Source organism: Homo sapiens, chromosome 6, assembly GCF_000001405.40.
Source record: "Homo sapiens chromosome 6, GRCh38.p14 Primary Assembly".
Taxonomy (NCBI): Eukaryota; Metazoa; Chordata; class Mammalia; order Primates; family Hominidae; genus Homo; species Homo sapiens.
Window position 1 is genome coordinate 167,706,148 of NC_000006.12, and position 18,236 is coordinate 167,724,383.

Genomic DNA, 18,236 nt, shown 5'->3' on the forward strand with positions numbered 1-18,236 from the left:
AATGAAAAACAAACTTTTACCATTAAATGAAAAAAATTACATACCGTATAATGTCTACACTTGAAAAAGGAGTATATAGAAAAATAAAGGCACCCCTGCCAAGTGTTAATAATAGTTTTCTCTGCAGGGTAGGCTTCCGGGTGATTTTCTGTATTTACACATTTTTAGCCCTCTAAATATTCTATAGTGAGGGCGTCTGTAGTTGCTATTGTTTCCATTATCAGTTATCTATTGCCACAGTGGTAACCACAAGAAACAACCACAAACCTCTGTGCACGTAACCACCACCACTGGCGCCTGCTCACCGTCGAGGTGGTGTTGGGGCAGGGCTGCTCTCTGAGCTGGGGCGGAGGAGAATGAATGCATCTGCTCAGCCGGCTCGGCTGGGTGGCTTCACCTAGCTTTGCCGAGCCCCCTCCCACGCCAGCTGGGCCCCGCAGAGACTCTCAGGGCCCCAGGCAGATGCTCGTGACAGTACAGGGCTTCGTGGGAACTGCAAGAGCTCACGGCGTCTTAGGCCTCGGCTGGGCAAGGCCCCCTTCCTACCGGCCAAAGCAAGTCAGAGGCTGCGCGGCCTCCAAGGGTGGGAAAGGAGCCCCTGTTGATGAGAGGAGCTGCGGTTCGTTGCAGCGACGGGACAGCAGGATGAGGACCTACAGCCAGCTTTACTTCAGTCCACGATTGAGACCCGGCTGCTGTTCTCAACAGCTGTTCCCACCATAGCCTGAAAACCCAGATATTTGCTGCCTCAGTTTCCATGGCCAGTATGGTAGTCACGTGGCCAGCTCTGGCCAATGAGACCAAGGGTAAGTCCAGAGGGGTGAGATTCTGGGAATCACTCTTCCTTCATGATTTAAAAAAACAACAACAAAGGAAGAAAAGAGGGAGAGGAAGAAGCTCACAAGACACCCCCAGCCCCACCACAGAAGCCTCCCTGCACCCGGCCTTCCCATGTGGCCCCGTGAGGGAGGCCATAAGGCCCAGATGCAGGTGTGAACACACACCTGAAGAAGCCAGGAGAACAGCCCCGATGTGTCTCCTCCAGGGTTTCAGGGAAGAAATCAATGCCCACAGTTGAAGCCACGGTGAGCATGCCTCAGTGACTGGATTCCCGGTGCCTCTCCAGACATAGCACAGCCCGCATGTCCATCCAGGAAAGGCGTAACTAAAGAAGAAAGCATTTAAGCAAGAAACAGATAAGTCAAAAGTCTTACAAAAATGAGAAGGCTCTAAATGATTACAGCATAACACAGAAGCTGCTTGGCAGTTTAGAATTTCACTCCCAGACAAAACTATAGTCAACTGAAGGGTATGACCTGGCTGACATGTTGTCCTGACTATTTCATGCTCTAAGTTTGCAGAAAGTGACTGTACATCACCCAGACATCTTACACAGCCCCTGGTCTGTGGAGTTTCCCGTGAAGACACAGGTGGCCTGGCATCAGGGACACACCAAGAAAGTCGGCAGCAGGGAAGGGGGCTTCGTGTCTTTCTCTCACAGGAAAAAAGGAGCAAAACAACTGTCTGAAACTGAAATGAACACGGTGCCTTAAGGTCACTTTATTGTCAAGCAGAAAATGGTCTCAAGAATTGCAAAGGGAAAGGAAGGTAGGATTTGCTGAGCGGAGTATCACATCAAGAAACCCAGTCATCCGGGGAAAGTCGGCACTTCCCGAATTCCCGCGTAATCAGTCACTGAAGAGACGGCATGATGAGCGAACTCTGGTCTATCCGAGGCCTGGGAAGCTGGCTCAGAAGCAGCAGCTGGAGAAACACACGTATGACAGCTGTGGCATTTTGCTAAATATGTTGTCACGATGCCCCATGGCTACAAGGAAAGAGCTTAGCATGTGATGGGGAGGGTGGAAGACACCCCACAGTGCTCAGGGGGGAGGCTGAGCCTCTGCAGCCAGGTAGACCTCTTGACGGTGCAGGGCCAAGCCTCAGCTGCTTACGTCCAGACAAAGCAGGGGGAGGGTGCCTGTGTTGGCCTTGGCCAAATGAGCATGTTTTATCTGAAACAGAATCCATAGGGTGGAGTTGCTTGACACTGGCCTCCTTCCTGAATACCCTCCAGGCGAGAGGCTGCATCTGGGCTGGTCCAGGGCCGCTGGACACCCACAGTGAGCCCAGCGAGGCAGCAGGAGCGCCAGTAGGACTCAGCGTCGATCTCCCGGATTCAGAGATGACCAAGAATCGTGAAACATCTACGTATTCACCAAGGACGCAAACAAGGCTGCAGCCATCTCAAGGAAGCTCCTGGAAATCTTCCTGCAGCCTAGAAAAATGTTACCTGAAGCACTGCAGGAAGATCCTGGGGCCAAGACAGGATTCCCGCTCCACTGAGACCCCAGCCCTGCAGGCTCCCATCCACACCCGCCCTAGGCTGCCCTGGACCCATGGCGGGCCCAGGCACACCCCACAGCCGCAGGCACCCCACAGCACGGCGCCGCATCCAGGGAGTGCCTTCCTAGGCCAACATCCTTGGGTGACACCTGTTGAATTTCGTTTTGATGATTCTTTCCTTTCAGGGTAATAACTTCTACACCTTTTTCTTGGCGTGTTTCTGTAGCCCAGGTCCAGGAATAGATTAAGCACGAGAGCGTGTGGCACCTGCTCAGCAGCCTGTGTATAGCTTATGCTTTCTCTACTGTCCCACAGGAACCGTGTGCACCTCTGCAGGATGCAGACCCACAGGGGTGGGGACAGCAGGAAGAGCAAGAGAGGCACAGAAGGGAAGGCCAGTGGAGGCCCTCCAAGCCGTCCCAAGGCAGTCTCCATTGTCGCATTCAGGCTGGGAAGGGAGGGACAGTGGACAAGGAAGGGGTCCTGGGAATAGCAGCCAACAGGGGAGGAAGGAAAGGATGCAAAACTTCCAACAGAGCTGCTCAGTAGGGGAAAGACGTCTTTCCTCACCCATCCTAGGTTCACGGCTGAAGCTTCTATCACAACAGACAGATGGACAAAGGAAAGTGCACATTTTACTTCATCTAAGTTTTATGTGACACAAGAGCCTTCATAAGGAAATGCCAACCCGAAGAAACAGGCGAGCCTGAGTGTGTTTCACAGGGGGTTTGGTGAAAATGGGGCGGTGGAAGGAAAGAACAGAAGGAAGCAGCATGATCTACTGGCAGCAAAGCGGGGGGACCTGGCAGGCCTGTGTGGCCCTTCAGCTCCCGAGCTAAGGACACTCCACTCCACATGATGGGGTGGCCACTTCTCACAGGCGGGGCTCCTAGACCAGCTTCCCGGGAGGGCCAGAGAGTCCTGCCTGACTTTTATGACCCAAGTCAGGAGAGGAGGAAGGAAGGTGAGTGTGGCTTCCTGCTTCTGCACTTTTCTCAAATAGCTTCAGCTGAAAGTATCGGGGGGTGAACCTCATCACCCATCACACCTCGCAGCCTATGAACCAGCCTGGCATCACCCATCACACCCCACAGCCTGTGAACCAGCCTGGCATCACCCATCACACCCCACAGCCTGTGAACTAGCCTGGCATCACCCATCACACCCCACAGCCTGTGAACCAGCCTGGCATCACCCATCACACCTCACAGCCTGTGAACCAACCTGGCATCACCCATCACACCCCACAGCCTGTGAACCAGCCTGGCATCACCCATCACAGCCCGCAGCCTATGAGCCAGCCTGGCATCACCCATCACACCCCACAGCCTGTGAACCAGCCTGGCATCACCCATCACACCCCACAGCCTGGCATCACCCATCACACCCCACAGCCTATGAACCAGCCTGGCATCACCCATCACACCTCACAGCCTGTGAACCAACCTGGCATCACCCATCACACTCCACAGCCTATGAACCAGCCTGGCATCACCCATCACACCCCACAGCCTGGCATCACCCATCACACCCCACAGCCTGTGAACCAGCCTGGCAGTTGCCGGACAGCACAACTCAGACGCCAGGGTTGCCAGTCCCCATTCATGTGGAGAGATGGCTCTAATGGGAACGGGTGGGCAGGTGCCCTGGGGGCAGCCCCGGCTCCTGAAAAGTGTCCATCTGGGGGGCGGCTCTTGAGTCCAGGGTGCCGCTGGGTGCCCGACACAGAGCTAAGTCCTCGATATTCATCATCCTGATCCAAAGCTCTCCCACCTCCAAATAACCTCCCAGACGCACTAGTGAAGGCCCTGGGGAGACGGGAGGAGTTATTTTTAAAAAGAAAAGGAAAAAGAGAACCAGGAGCATTGAGGGCAATGTCATCATCAAAGACGTTCTCTGGGGCTCCAGCAAGCCATGCTGGCCTCGTTGTACAGGCATCACATGGTGACTTCAGGCTCTTAAATATTCTGTCTTCTCTCATGGAAGCTTATCACAGAGAGAGCACGGGCGAGCAATTACCTCCTCCTAATTTCCATCACATCTTGGCACCTTCCATGCAGCTGGGGTTATCTTTGTGATGCACGCTTTTTATGAATAATGAGAGTCATCGGGAAGCAAGTGCTCACCAGGGGACAGACGCAAACAAGTTTCCATCCCTTCTCCCTTTCACACACGGATGGCAACCCCAGTTCCCTTGCTGGGTCTTTCCTGGTGGGTTTTGCAGTCACACAGCCTGCGCCATAGCATGTGTGCCTGCAGACCCCGCACCCGCCGGAGAGAGCCCAGCAGAGCCGTCTTAGTGATGCTGAGAGCCAGCTCCTTCTCTGTGTTTCAAGGAAAAGTTCCCAAAGAGACCTTGCCAAGGAAATGAAGCCTCACTACCTGGAATTTTCATAAAACAAAGGAAGAAACATAGAATTCTAGAAAGTTAGTTGGAAATGTAAGTATAATGACAGGTTTCAGGGGAGTTAGGGATCGTTCTGAACTTTTATAATTCTCAATATGATGGCATTATTATATACTAGGGGAAAAAATCAATGTGACAAAACCAGAATTAAACAGAAATGTCACGTGTTGATGTGCAAATTGGATAATGTGCACAATGAAGTCAGGTCATTAGAATTTCTCCATAAAGGGTAGAAAGCTAAGTCCAATCAATGTTTTTAAATAATTACTTCAAATTCTAGTAAGTGATGGCCTGTCCCTCTGGGTCACCTAAGTATGGTCTATTAATAGAAGTTCACAAAAAAGTGAGGAAGTGAAGAGTAATGATATCAGAAGTAATGATCTGAATATTTCATTTGTATGTTTTGCAGTTGAGGGTTGCTGCGGCGTAGGAGAACAGGCCGCGCATTTGAGGGAAAAAGAAGAATTTGGCTCCAGACTGGCTTCTCAAACAAGCCGTGTAATTACCCTGAGCCTGTGTGCATGTGGAGACGAAGCTGGCTGGGAGAGGAGCTGAATGACATGCGGGAGGCGGTGGGGCTCCTCTTTCCCTCCTTGGGGGTTGACTGCAGCTGAGGTGACTGAACAAAGTTCTTTATTTTTCCTGTAACCCACTATTTATAAAGCTTTCCACTTCTGGCTATTTTCTGAGCCCAGGTAGCTACTTAATTTATGCACTAGACATAATCTGGAAGTGGATTTTCATTTAGGTAACCATGGCAGGCACATTGCCACCATCATTCAGGCTGGTAGCATCCCCACCTGAGGGGTAAGAGACCGAATCATGGAGCGTTTGCACGAGTGGTGGACTCAGGATGGGACCCCAAGCCTTTTGCTTCTAAATCCACAGCTTGTTTCCATGAGAATTCACTTACTGAACTTGCACTGATGTGTTTGTTCACTGCATGTGTGTTGTCTACTAGGTGCTGGGCACAGTTGTGAACTGAAGAGAATCAAAACCCTTCCTTCGTGGAATTTGCACTCCAACAAGAGAAACAGATAAGGAGCAGGAAATAGGAACACAGCGTAGGGTGTGAACAGTGACAGTAAAGCTGGCGGAGGTGCCAGGGAGAGCTGCAATTTGAAATGAAGTGGCCAGGGTAGGCCTCACCAGAAGCCGCAGCTGAGCAGGGGCGCTGAGCAGAGATGTGCTTCCAGGAGGACCCTTCTAGGCAGAGGGAGGTGAGAATGGAGAGATAGGGCCTGGGGAACTGCCTGTTATTCTGAAAGAGAGAGTAAGCCATTGTGGGTATCCCCTTGCTGAGAATAAGCAGAGGTTAAGCAAGGAGACTGAGAAATAGAAGCCCGTTGCATAATGGAGGGGGAATGAGGGTGGCTGGGACTGGTGGGGAAGTTGGAGCAGCAGCGGGCTCTGGGTCTGAACTGTGAAAGCGGAGACAGAATTTTCTGACAGCCTGGATGTGGGCGTGGAGAAGGAAAGGGGCCAGGGTGGCTCCTGGGTTGGAAGTTCCTCCCCTGGACAGGCTGGGATAGGGAGGCTGCAGGTGGCGCGGGCTGGGTGAGGGTCCTCAGTGGGTGCCAGCACAGCCGTCCCTCTCCCATGGACCCGCTGCCTGCTGGCTTCTGCCCGCCCCGCCTCACCCACCCCCAGCACTCAGTGCTCTCCTTGCCTCAGAGCCGGCCTGATTCTGCCAGGCCAGGTGCACTGCCAGGGCTAGGATGTGGATGGCAGGTGGCACGGGCTGGGTGGACAGGGAACACCTGTGAGCCCTCCCATCAGGGAGGCTGAGATGGGGTTCGGAAGATAGGTCCGGAAGAGAGAGGCATCAAGGTCATCAACGCATGAAGGGGTTTAAACCCACAGCCTGGACAAGACCACCAAGAAGGGAAAAACAAGGCCCCAAGGACTGACGCCTGGACCACGGCCACTGCGAGAGGTCGAAGGACCCAAAGGGGCAGCAGAGGAGGCAGACGTGGGCACGCTGGTGGGGAGGCAGCAAGAGCCCTGGAGGGTGGGGCACAGGAAGCCACACAGGCAGGAGGTTGGAAGCAGGCTTGCCAGGCACTGGCCTCCACTTCAGCCCACGGCGTCCTGGGCTGCACTCTTACTACTTACCCAAGTCCAGGGAGCCAGGACCCCTCCCACACAAGCTACGTGAAGCGGGTGACTACTTATATATAGGCATCGAGGAACCGCAGGAGCCCAGGGCTCATAGCCAGGCAGTCCCCCAGGCTCAGGGAAGTGGCTGGGGCAGAGAGGTCTCACCTGAATGTGCTCTATTTGCACTGTGGCTGAGGACCCCAGAAAGCATCCCGCCCTGGGTTTTATACCTTGGCGTTCCAGGACTCACTGGGGTAAAGCAGGCAAGGCCATCCTGGTTTTGGAAGGGCTGGAACAGAGCGAGGCTATTGCAGCCAGCCCCTCCCATCTCAGGACCATGAATTCCCAGCATATTCTGCAGGGACTCGGGGGAGCACAGTGAGAGGTAGAGAGGGCTGGGTCTGTCTGAGGCCATGCAGGCGTCTCCAGGGGCAGAGACCTGTGTATCAGAGGCTGGTGGAAGACACCTGGGAGGAAGCCTAGGAATTGAGCATTGTGGAAATGACCTTTACATTTTACATTATATTTAAAACACACTAAGGGTCCTTCTCCAAATAAAGCCAGACCACAGAAACATCCTGCAAAACCTAATAAAACTGAACAATAAGCAACCAGTGAAAACCAGTTTTAAAACACTACAGTAACATCCAAAAAAGAAAGGCTAGCTTCATGTCATCATCTTTTAAAAGTGAAGTCCAGGAGGAAAAAGTATGGGAATCAACAACAGCCTCCTGTCCCTGAGAAATAGAACCTTGGGGAAGAGGGTAAGCGGATAGCATTCTGAGCTTTTTCACGAATAAACCTAAATTCGAAAAGAAACAACTGGTCAGCAGTTGAAGGAGAGTCTCTGGGGTTAAAGCCCTCACCTACCTCTTACCTCCGAGGAACCCCAGAGATGAGCAGGAGGAGGAGCTGGAGAGGAAAACGAGAGGACCGACTGACCGCAGTTGTCCAGGGCGGAATATTCTATAGCAGCAAACACATTAGGATGGAGGGAAGGAATTGGAAAGAGAACAAGACCCCTTCAGGCACAGGGATCCTCAGGACATCCAGGGGCAACTCCCCCCTGCCCCATCCCCCTCTTTCTCTGCTTCCATGGGGATGGGAGGAGCCCACACAGGGGTCCTTGTATCTGGCAGAGAACAAACTCCTTCCTAAATCGGGGCAATAAGCGGACACCCAAGGGCATCGCCTGCAGAACGGGCTGTGCCCTGAGCTTGCAAGAGTTCCTCCACCGTCCCAGACTACTAACAAAATTGCACAAAGATGAGAGCTTCCAGCTGTACCTTCAAGCCCCACCAGAGCAGGGAGGATACAGAACCCAACAGTCCCAGGGAAGTTTCACATTCTGTTTAGGCAGAGAGAAGATTCACAGGGCTTCCCACGTTGAGTGAGCTGAAAAGGAAGGAAAGCAGGAAGGGAGGGAGGGCGGCTAGAAGAGAGAAAGGCAGGCAGACAGGCACAGGAGTATCTAGACATAGTACAGCTGAGAAGAAAAAAAAAGAGAGAGAGAAATTGCGTGCAAAACACAAAGGTTAAACCTACTGTTGCAGCATATTGCAAGAAATTTTAAAAAGCTTCCAATAATAAATAATGTGAAAGTTAGCTAAAAATAAAGAGAGTAAGAAGTCGCTGAGAAAAGAATTCAAAAATGAAATGAGACAACTGGAATAAAATGCAAAGAAAAATTGAAGAGATACAGAAACAAATTGAGGCTACTAATTCTTCATTAGATAAATAATACCTATATCAGAAACCACAAGGAGCCGGATAAACACAGCTAAATCCTGATTAGGTACATGCAGAAAGGGCTTATTGATAATCACAGATAATGCAATGAAAGAAAGGACAAGGGAAAAGAAAGGAATTTTAATTGGAACCACAAGAATATTTGAGCGGCTTTCTCTGAATTTTTATAGGTTTTAAAAAGTGGTCAAAAATAACAATTTCATATGATTCAACCTAATTAAATATGAAGATGAGCCCAATACAGGGACAACCGGTATATCTGAAACAGAAATAAATAGAACAGAAAAGAATATATAGATAAAATTGGAAAGATGTTCCTCAACAAGCCAAGTCTGCATCTGCAGATTAAAGGGACATTTTTCCCCTGTTCTAGGAACAACCGGCTCACAACCATTCCTCACCGAGACACGCCCGAGTGGGGTCACTGAGTCTCCAGGGTGAGAAAATGTCATGTGAGTGTCCAGGCTGGGGAAAAGCCTCCTACGAGGCAGAGGTGTCCCCTGCCCAGCTACGCTCACACCAGGCATTCCAGGTCAGGTACCGGCTCCTCCTGAGGGAAAAGACACCCAAGAGTGACGGCGGACCCTTGAACAGCTCGTGGGGTAGCAGTGTCGACGCCCCATGCAATAAAAAAAAAATCAGCTTAACTTTTGACTCCTCAAAAACGTAACTCCTCATAGCCTACTGTTGAGCAAAAGCCTTGTTGATAACATACACAGTTGATTAATACCTATTTTATACGTGATTTATATCATATACTGTGTTCTTATAATAAAGTGAGCTAGAGGAAAGAAAACGTTATTAAGAAAATAGTGAGAAAGAGAAAAGACATTTACTATTCATGAATTGGGGATGGATCGTCATGAGCTCTTCATCCGCGTCGTCTTCACGCTGGGGAGGCTGTGGAGGAGGAGGAAGAGGAGGGTGGCAGAGGGGGAAGAAAATCCACATATAAGTGGATCCGCACAGCTCAAAACCCTGTTGTTCAAGGCTCAGCCATACATAGAACCTGCTAAGGTGTATTCTCAACCACAGAAGAATTCCATCACTATAGCACCCAGGAGCCCTTCTCGAAAAAAAAAATACTTGATGACAAAAATTTAGCCATACAGCAGTTGAATCATAAAAATGTTAAAATTCAGGCATGAAGAAGCTGGAAGGAAAGAATGCTGAATGCATTTGAATATGGAAGGGTCTCACATGAAATACATGGTAATTGTGGCACGGAACAAAATGTAGATGATATAAAATGCAAGTCTGTAAAAATAGTCTACGAACAAAAGTCATGGGGGAGGAAGAAAAGTGGGTAGGAGATATGAATTGTGCAAATTCAAGGGGAAGAAATCAACAGATCTTTTTAAAGTTATAACATTAGATTTAAAAAAAAAAAAAAGGTTGACCCTAACCCCAACTTTGTAGCTTAACTTTTTGAATTTTAGATTTTTAGGAAAAATCACTAATATCACTTATAAAGAAAACACACATCTTCACTTATCCATTTCCTTCATGTTCAGTTTGAGATTCATTTTCTTTAGTTAAATACAAGTAATGTTAAATCGAATACATGATGTATTTCATTTGTGTAAAATTATTTCTATCTACTCTTCTGGGAGAATATACACATGGCAAAAGCTCTAAAATGATGTTTATGAAACATTAACCGTAGTGATCTGCAAGAAGTGTGGTGATTCCTCCAGAGCTAAAAACAGAACTACCGTTCAACCCAGCAATACCATTACTGGATATATACCCAAAGGAATATAAATCATTCTGCCATAAAGACACATGTGCACCTGTGTTCATACCAGCACCATTCACAGTAGCAAAGATATGGAGTCAACCTAAATGTCCATCAATGACAGATTGGACTCTGAAGATGTGGTATGTATACACCATGGAACACTACACAGCCAGAGTAAAGAGCAAGATCATGTCTTTTGTAGGAACATGGATGGAGCCAGAAGCCATTATCCTTGGCAAATTAACGCAGGAACAGAAAACCAAACGCCACATGTTCTCACTTAGAAGTGGGAGCTAAAAGATGAGCACTCATGGACACAACAAGGGGAACAACAGAGACTGGGGCCCATCAGAGAGTGGAGGGTGGGAGGAGGGAGAGGAGCAGAGAAAATAACTATTGGGTACTAGGCTTAGTACCGGGGTGATGAAATAATCTACACCACAAACCCCCATGACAAGTTCACCTACATAACAGACCAGCACATGTACCCCTGAACCTAAAATAAGAGTTAAAAAAAAAAGTAGTGATTTCCAGATGATGAGACTGGGAATACATTTTTGACTTTTTGTACTTTCTGTTTTCTTGATCCACCCCTGTCCCCTGCCAACAAACAGATAACATTCTCCTAAGCAATAGTTATTTCCTAATGAGAAGAGAAGGAAGTCCTCCAGCAGCAGCCCCGCTCCACTGCTCCTCGTGCCCACCTGGGCTCATCTCCTCCAGGATCAATTCACTCATCACCGTGGTTCACAGCTGGGCTGCTCCTCCCTCTCCACCTTCTTTTTTTAACACAGACCTTGTCCTCTCCAGCAAATTGACATAGTCTGGGAAGATACCTCTTAGTCAAAAATGTCCTTTTGTTAAGCAAAAGACAATAATTACACCAATGGAATACTGATCAGTGAAGAGGTGGCCTGGCTAAATTACAGTGTTTAGAACAAAACTAAACACAGCAACCAAAAGGACTTCAGTAAAGTAATTATGATTATCCACAGAGGTCTGACCTGGACACTGGACAACTCTTCCTTCTGCCTCCACCTCACCTGGGTGCTTGCGCCCGAGGGCACCTGCATAGAACAGGCAACGCACGCGGCACTGAACCTTCATCCCCCAGGGTCCTGTGGAAACCTTGCTATGTGCCAGGCCCTACACTCAGCTCTGGATACACCAGGGCAAATGAAGCAGTCTAGCTAGGCAGACAAACAGACTGTCCAGGTAAACGGGCTGCCATGTGGAAGCACATAACACACACGGAGCCAAGGCGTCTCGCACTGGGCCAGTCTAAGCTGAGTCCAGGGCTGTGGAAAGAGGGTGGAGTGGAGAGAAAGAGGAGACAAGGCAGATGGAACAAGGGGAGAAGCTCTGTACCTCACAGTCAGGTGCTCTCTACCGTGTATCCAATAGCTATTCTTCTCTTTTAATCACAAAACTCCTATATGTTAGAAACAGTAAGGTGCCCTTCTTAAGAAACTAAATTTCCTGGCTCCCTAGCAATAGAAAGTTGTTGGGTGGGGCTCCCAGGAAAGCCACTTGAAGGGGACAGATTCAGCTAGTTGGAATGCAGATGTGATGGCTACAGCTGCAGCGCCATTTTGCAACCATGAGGAAATTTGGAGACTAGAAGCTACACATTAAGGACTATGGAGCAGAAAGACAGAAAAATCTGGATCCCTAATAACAAGCAATGGGAGTGAGATGAAGGGCAACAAGCCAACCCCAGACTGCCTACCTCTGGGTTTCTTCTATGTAAAAGAAATATCATTTATCCAGCTGAAGACTCTCTTAGGTGGGATTTCTGCTACCTGCAGCTGAACCTAATCCTGAGTGATCTAGCTTAACAGCCGTATTAAAAGGTTAGCTATTTTTAGCATGATCACCGTTACCCTAACTCCTCATCTATTTCCCTTGCCCTAGGCTCCTACAGAATTTATACTTTGCACTAAATAATTTACTCTGGAATTATTTGTATATTTATTATTTATTAACTAACTGCATGATGGAGTATTCCCACCCTACAATAGGCTCATAAACTCCATGCATGAAAATAAACATCATTTATCCAAGCCTACCTCAGGGCCGAGCACATGATAGGTGACATGGTTTGGCTGTGTCCTCACCCAAATCTCCTCTTGAATTATACCCCCATGATTCCCTCATGTTGTGGGAGGGACCCAGTGGGAGACAGTTGAATCATGGGGGCAGTTTCCCACATACTGTTCTCGTGGTAGTGAATAAGTCTCTCAAGATCTGATGGTTTTATCAGGAGTTTCTGTTTTTGCCTCTTCCTCATTCTCTCTTTGCCTGCTGCCCTCCATGTAAGACAGGACTTGCTCCTCCTTGCCTTCCGCCATGATTGTGAGGCTTCTCCAGACACGTGGAACTGTAAGTCCATTAAACCTCTTTCTTTTGTAAATTGCCCAGTGTCGGGTATGTCTTTATCAGCAGAGTGAAAACGGACTAATACAATGAGCTACTCCCTAAGTGCTGGCAGGACTGACACCATGATTCCCCTTCCTTTATCTGTCCTCTTGGTCACAGCTGTTTTGCTAAGAGGAGGGAAAGCATGTCTTGTGATCCACTCACCAGCCCTGTGATGAGGGTCTTATATCCGCGTGGTAGAGATGAGGAAGCTGAGGCTCAGAGATGTCAAGTCACAGACCCAGGGTCACTCGGCAAGAAAACAGCAGAGCTGAGTTTCACAGCCCTGAGCATGCTGGCCTGTCCACACCACCGCAGGGGCCTCCTGGAATTCACGGTGTCCATGTCCCTAAGGAACTAGTTTTACTCTGAGGAAGAGGTTTGGTGGGTGCACATTTCATTAGAGGGTGGGAACATGAAGATTATTTTTATTTTGCTATTTTATGTTCAATCTAAAACAGACGGAAAGTCTAATTAACTCCCACGCCTTGCCTTGCCATCCCCGGGCAGTGGTCACCTCACGGAGGAACAAGAACCTAAGACCACATGGAATACTATGCAGTCATAAAAAAGAATGAGTTCATGTCCTTGGCAGGGACATGGATGAAGCTGGAAGCCATCACCCTCAGCAAACTAACACAGGAACAGAAAACCAAACGCCACATGTTCTCACGCATAAGTGGGAGTTGAACAATGAGAACATGTGGACACAGGGAGGGGAAGATCACACACCAGGACCTGTTGGGGTGGTGGGCAAGAGGAGGGAGAGCATTAGGACAAATACCTAATGCATATAGGGCTTAAAACCTAGATAAGTTGATCAGTGCAGCAAACCACCATGGCACACGTATACCTAGGTAACAAACCTGCACGTTCTGCACGTGTATCCCAGAACTTAAATCAAAATTTTAAAAAAAGAACTGGGGACTTGCATCTCCGTCCTTCCTGCCTGTCGCCTGGCAGACCCCGTCGCTGAAGGCAGCAGTTGGATTTGTCTCGTTTAGTCGCTGCCTTTCTCCTCTTTCTGAAGGATGAGCTGAGAGTTTCGAGTTCCACGGAGGCCTGACTGCCGTCTGGCCGCCTTCCTGGGGATGCACGCCGCGTGGAACCAGCTGGGTTTCTCTCACCGTTCTCCAGCACTGCCCAGACCAGAGGCGCAGGGAGAGGAGGGGTCAGCGGTTCCGCGACCACTCCTCCCGCTGTCCCTGCTCTCCAGCCTCTGCCTCTGCAGGAGCCCGCGGGAGCTGCCCCAGGCCCCCTGTCCCCACCTGTGGCTCCCGTCCTGGTCGCCTCCCGGGGCCGCGCCTGCTCCCCACACAGCGCTGCCAGTGCTGGAAGGCGAGACTCTATCTGCTGTCTCTGCAGGTCTCCACTGTTCGCCTGTAGCAATGGCTTAACAAAATATCTGCTCTTTTTAATTAAACTTTGACACACCCTAAAGAATGCACCAAGGCCCAGTTGCCTACAGTTCTGGGCTCTGCACTTCCCCGCATGGTTTGTCTCTGACCCTACAACACGTTTTTTAAATTAGTATCATTATTAATGGTCATATTAATTTCCAGAACGGTCAATTTTCTGCCAAGCTTAAAATTTAGTAATAGCCTTTGGAGCAGAGGTTCGAATTCTTTCTCCGCGTCCTCTGGGACCGCTGACACGGACGCCCCAGGCCCGTGGACTTCCCTCTCCCACTCTCTTTCCTCCTGGGACCGCACCCGGGGCTTGTGGGCAGATTTACAAAATGAGGGAAAGGAATGTTATTGCTGACCCAGAAGAATTCTGTTCTAACACAAAGGAAAATAACTGAAATGGCAGAAAATCTTTCGACAGTAAGAGGCCCGGTCCGGGGACCCTGGCCTCCAGCACAGAGCTGCTTCGTGGGTTTTACATGGATGGGATTTTGTCCTTCAGTTGTCAGGCAAGGATGGCGCACCGTGGCCCAGCAGTCCGCGTGGTTTTGTCCAGCCAGCGAGGTATCCCTTGCACTGTGTCCTGGCAGGAGAACCCTCTTCCTGCAAGGAGCACATTGCGAGTCATTTGAGTGGGGCCAACTCACTCCCCCCATCACAGCCTTCTACCGGAGAACCACACGCTCCATTTCCCAGCACCCGCTGTGAGTTCAGGGGTGGGCACAGGCCGTGCCCCCTGAAATTCAGCACACAGCCCCGAGAACAGAAGAGACCTCTCTTTCTCTAGAAAGGTACACAGCACGACCACAACTGCAGACGTGAACAGAACAAAAGCCATCCGGCCGGGAGAAGCCTCCGAGAGAGGAGTGAGAGGCAGAGTAACGATTACCTGAGCCCTAGGATTCAGGTTGCCAGATGAGATACTGGGTGCCCACTTAAAGTGGAATTTTAGATAAAGAATGGAGAGGGGGCATATTTGAACTAGAAAAAAAAATCATTCTTTATGTGAAATTCAAATTTAATTGGGTGCCCTGTTTCTTTTTGTTTTTTGTTAAGTCTGGCCATCTTAACCTGGATTCATCCGCGCCTGAAGCCAAACACACCCTGGGCGTCCCAGGAAGGAGCAGGGTTTCCTGCACTCCCAGCTGAAGGACCGTCGCTCCTGGGTCTTCTCTCCACAAGCAAGCAAGGGAAGAGAAAATGGCCCCAGGGCTCCATGAGCGCCAGCCCGAAACAGCAGCGATGGCAGGGCATTGCTGCGTTGGTTTTCTCATACCTGAAGAAGCATTAACTCCTCCAGAAGCCTTTTGCAGAGAAGTCAAAGTACTTTTTTAAAAAGAAGAGGAGACAGGAAGACGGTCTTTAAAGTGAAACTCCTAATCTAACCCTATGATAAGAATGAAACCTAATTTTCCTGTCCGCTGCTACCTGCTAGGTTACGTGCTGCATTTTAACTCCTTGTAATCCCCAGAAGGCAAAGGATATTAAAATCAATTTTTAAAAATTGTATTTGCAAATCACTTCCTTCTCTCAAGTGTTTCGTCACCTCTGTGGTCCCTGAGCAAACACACAGACAGCCCCCATGGTGATGGCAAGTGCGCACTCTGAGCGCCGGGTGTTTAAGTCAAATATTGATTCCGCCGCGTATTAACATGAATGCCGCTTTGAGTACCTCACTGCCCTCTGCCAGCCTCGGTTTCCTCATCTGTACAATACAGTCAATAACATTACCATTGTCATTTTGTGTAGCTCTGGGATGTCGTGCCTGGCCTGTGACAAGTCAGTACATAGTATTTATCGTTAAATGGCAGCTGCGCACACCTGCCACCACTTGGGAAGTTCTTGTCATGCTCAATATGACCTGAAGACTGGGGTGGAGTTGGGCGGCTGGGAGAGAACCGGACCCAGTTGCTTTCTGAGTTGCTGACGCCTCTGCTGACAGAGCACACCAGCCCACAAGCCGCCCCTCGCTCAGCCTCACAGCAGCGCAGGACGTCTGCGTCATCTGCAAATTTGATTTTGTTTGTGGCACAATTTCTATTAGTTGGACATTTCAAACGTTGTCATTCTTTTATATTCTTTATCAATATCCTATTAAAAAACCAAAGCATTGACCCACCCATTTCACAGAGAATGGAGACAAAGAGTGAGTGTCCAGTGCACAGACAAACCACTTCTTGGAGTATAAATAGGGCGGGATCCCACTCTTCCACATTCTCATTCAGGCATTTGAGATAAAAACTCAGCCTTCCACTGCCTAAGTTCAGAGGGGAACGTGTTGCCCCACACACCCTGGGAACCAACTAGGGCCACAGGCTTCAGGTCACCTGGAACACACGGCTCCACAGAAGCCGCCAGGGTCCCGCCTCTGCGTCTCCCTCTGCTCTGTGCACCTCCCTTGGTTCGGTTCTCAAGACAGGCATCTGCAAGCACAGCCACGGGCTCCCCAGACTCTGGCTCCCCAGGGCAGAGGGGCCGCCTTTCCCTGAACCCCCCAGAGGACTGACCCAGGGGAGGGCTCCAATTGCTCCTCCTGGATCACACGCTCAGCTGCAGCCGGCTCTGGGACCCAGAGGAGGTGGCAGGAGTGACCCACCGGGACCTGGGTCGGCCTTGCTCTCAGAAAGTGCTGGTAGGAGGAAGCCCCACCCTAGCTGCTTGAGGAAGCTTCCTCTGGGGAAGAAAGTCCCTGGTCTTGGAGGACAGGAGGTGGAGGTGGGGCCTGGATAAAGGATGGCCGCTACCCGAGCAGACCAGGGCAGGTATCGAGGGACATCTGTTCCTGGGCACCCGCAAGAAAGTTTTTATTACGCAAGTTTCATGGAGTCATTTCCTTGTCAAAAGAAAACCTCACTTCACAGATGACTGACAACGTTGGTTCGCCCCCCACCCTCCCTCCACGGCTCCCCCAGCGCTGTGGCTGGTCTGGTTCGCTGTGTCTTCACTACCCCTCTCCACACTCACACACAGAAACCAACAGGATTAGAAAATAAACAGCACCGTGCTGGGGCTCGGTGCTACGTGTTTTCAATACATTCAGACTAAACACATTGCTCTGAAAATTACTTTATTTAATAAAAAATATGCTGGGGTTGTTCCTTGTCGTAAATACTTAGGTTGTTTCCAATTTTTCACTGTTCAAAAAAATACACAGCAATTAATATCCCTGCATAATTCACAGTACACATAGGGCAATCTTTTTGTCTATGACAGATATCGACAATAATTTCTGGCTTATATAGTACATTGTTAAATAAACTGACTTTGTAATTTCAACTCAGCACAGAGAAAGCTCCAGGCCTTGATGGCTTTTTTAATGAATTCTACCAAACATTTAAAAAAGAAACAACACTAAACTTACAATAAAACTCTTCCAGGAACAGAAGAAGAGAGAAAACTCCTTTTTTCTTGTTGTTGTTGTTGTTTTGTTGTTGTTGAGATGGAGTTTTGCTGTGATGAAGTTTTGCTGTTGTTGCCCAGGCTGGAGTGCAATGGCATGATCTCGGCTTACTGAAACCTCCACCTCCCAAGTTCAAGCCATTCTCCTGCCTCAGCCTCCCAAGTAGTTGAAATTACAGGCGCCCGCCATACCCACCTAATTTTTTTGTATTTTTAGTAGAGACGGGGTTTCACCATGTTGGCCAGGCTGGTCTCAAACTCCTGACCTCAGGTGATCTGCCCACCTCCCAAAATGCTGGGATTACAGGCATGAGCCACTGCGCCCAGCCAAGAAAACTTCTTAATGTGTGCTTATAAGGCCAGCACAGCCATTACACTAAACATCTGGTGAGAATATTACAAAAAGAAAAATTACAGGTCAATGTCTCTTTAAAACATAGACACCAAAAAAGAACCTGAATGTAACAACATAGAAAAAGAAAGTACATGGCAACCAAATTAGATGTACACCAGGAAGGCAAGGCTGGTTTAACATTTGAAAATCAATGAATATAATTCAACCTATTAGTAGAATAAAGGAAAAAGCCACAGCATCATCTCAAATGTGCAATAAAAGGAATGCAATCAAATTTAGCAAACATTTATAATTTAAAAATTCTTGGCAAATTAG

The 18,236-nt window shown here is 49.0% G+C and overlaps 5 annotated features.

The window, feature by feature from the left end:
• Window positions 1,475-2,196: an enhancer, noted in NCBI's record as "H3K4me1 hESC enhancer chr6:168108302-168109023 (GRCh37/hg19 assembly coordinates)". NCBI's record gives its function as "activates a minimal SCP1, AML or CMV promoter by ChIP-STARR-seq in naive H9 embryonic stem cells {active_cell/tissue: H9 hESC(naive)}" and the evidence as "EXISTENCE:reporter gene assay evidence [ECO:0000049][PMID:30033119]".
• Window positions 2,197-2,917: an enhancer, noted in NCBI's record as "H3K4me1 hESC enhancer chr6:168109024-168109744 (GRCh37/hg19 assembly coordinates)". NCBI's record gives its function as "activates a minimal SCP1, AML or CMV promoter by ChIP-STARR-seq in naive H9 embryonic stem cells {active_cell/tissue: H9 hESC(naive)}" and the evidence as "EXISTENCE:reporter gene assay evidence [ECO:0000049][PMID:30033119]".
• Window positions 6,259-6,827: an enhancer, noted in NCBI's record as "H3K4me1 hESC enhancer chr6:168113086-168113654 (GRCh37/hg19 assembly coordinates)". NCBI's record gives its function as "activates a minimal SCP1, AML or CMV promoter by ChIP-STARR-seq in naive H9 embryonic stem cells {active_cell/tissue: H9 hESC(naive)}" and the evidence as "EXISTENCE:reporter gene assay evidence [ECO:0000049][PMID:30033119]".
• Window positions 6,828-7,396: an enhancer, noted in NCBI's record as "H3K4me1 hESC enhancer chr6:168113655-168114223 (GRCh37/hg19 assembly coordinates)". NCBI's record gives its function as "activates a minimal SCP1, AML or CMV promoter by ChIP-STARR-seq in naive H9 embryonic stem cells {active_cell/tissue: H9 hESC(naive)}" and the evidence as "EXISTENCE:reporter gene assay evidence [ECO:0000049][PMID:30033119]".
• Window positions 16,673-17,188: an enhancer, noted in NCBI's record as "H3K27ac-H3K4me1 hESC enhancer chr6:168123500-168124015 (GRCh37/hg19 assembly coordinates)". NCBI's record gives its function as "activates a minimal SCP1, AML or CMV promoter by ChIP-STARR-seq in primed H9 embryonic stem cells {active_cell/tissue: H9 hESC(primed)}" and the evidence as "EXISTENCE:reporter gene assay evidence [ECO:0000049][PMID:30033119]".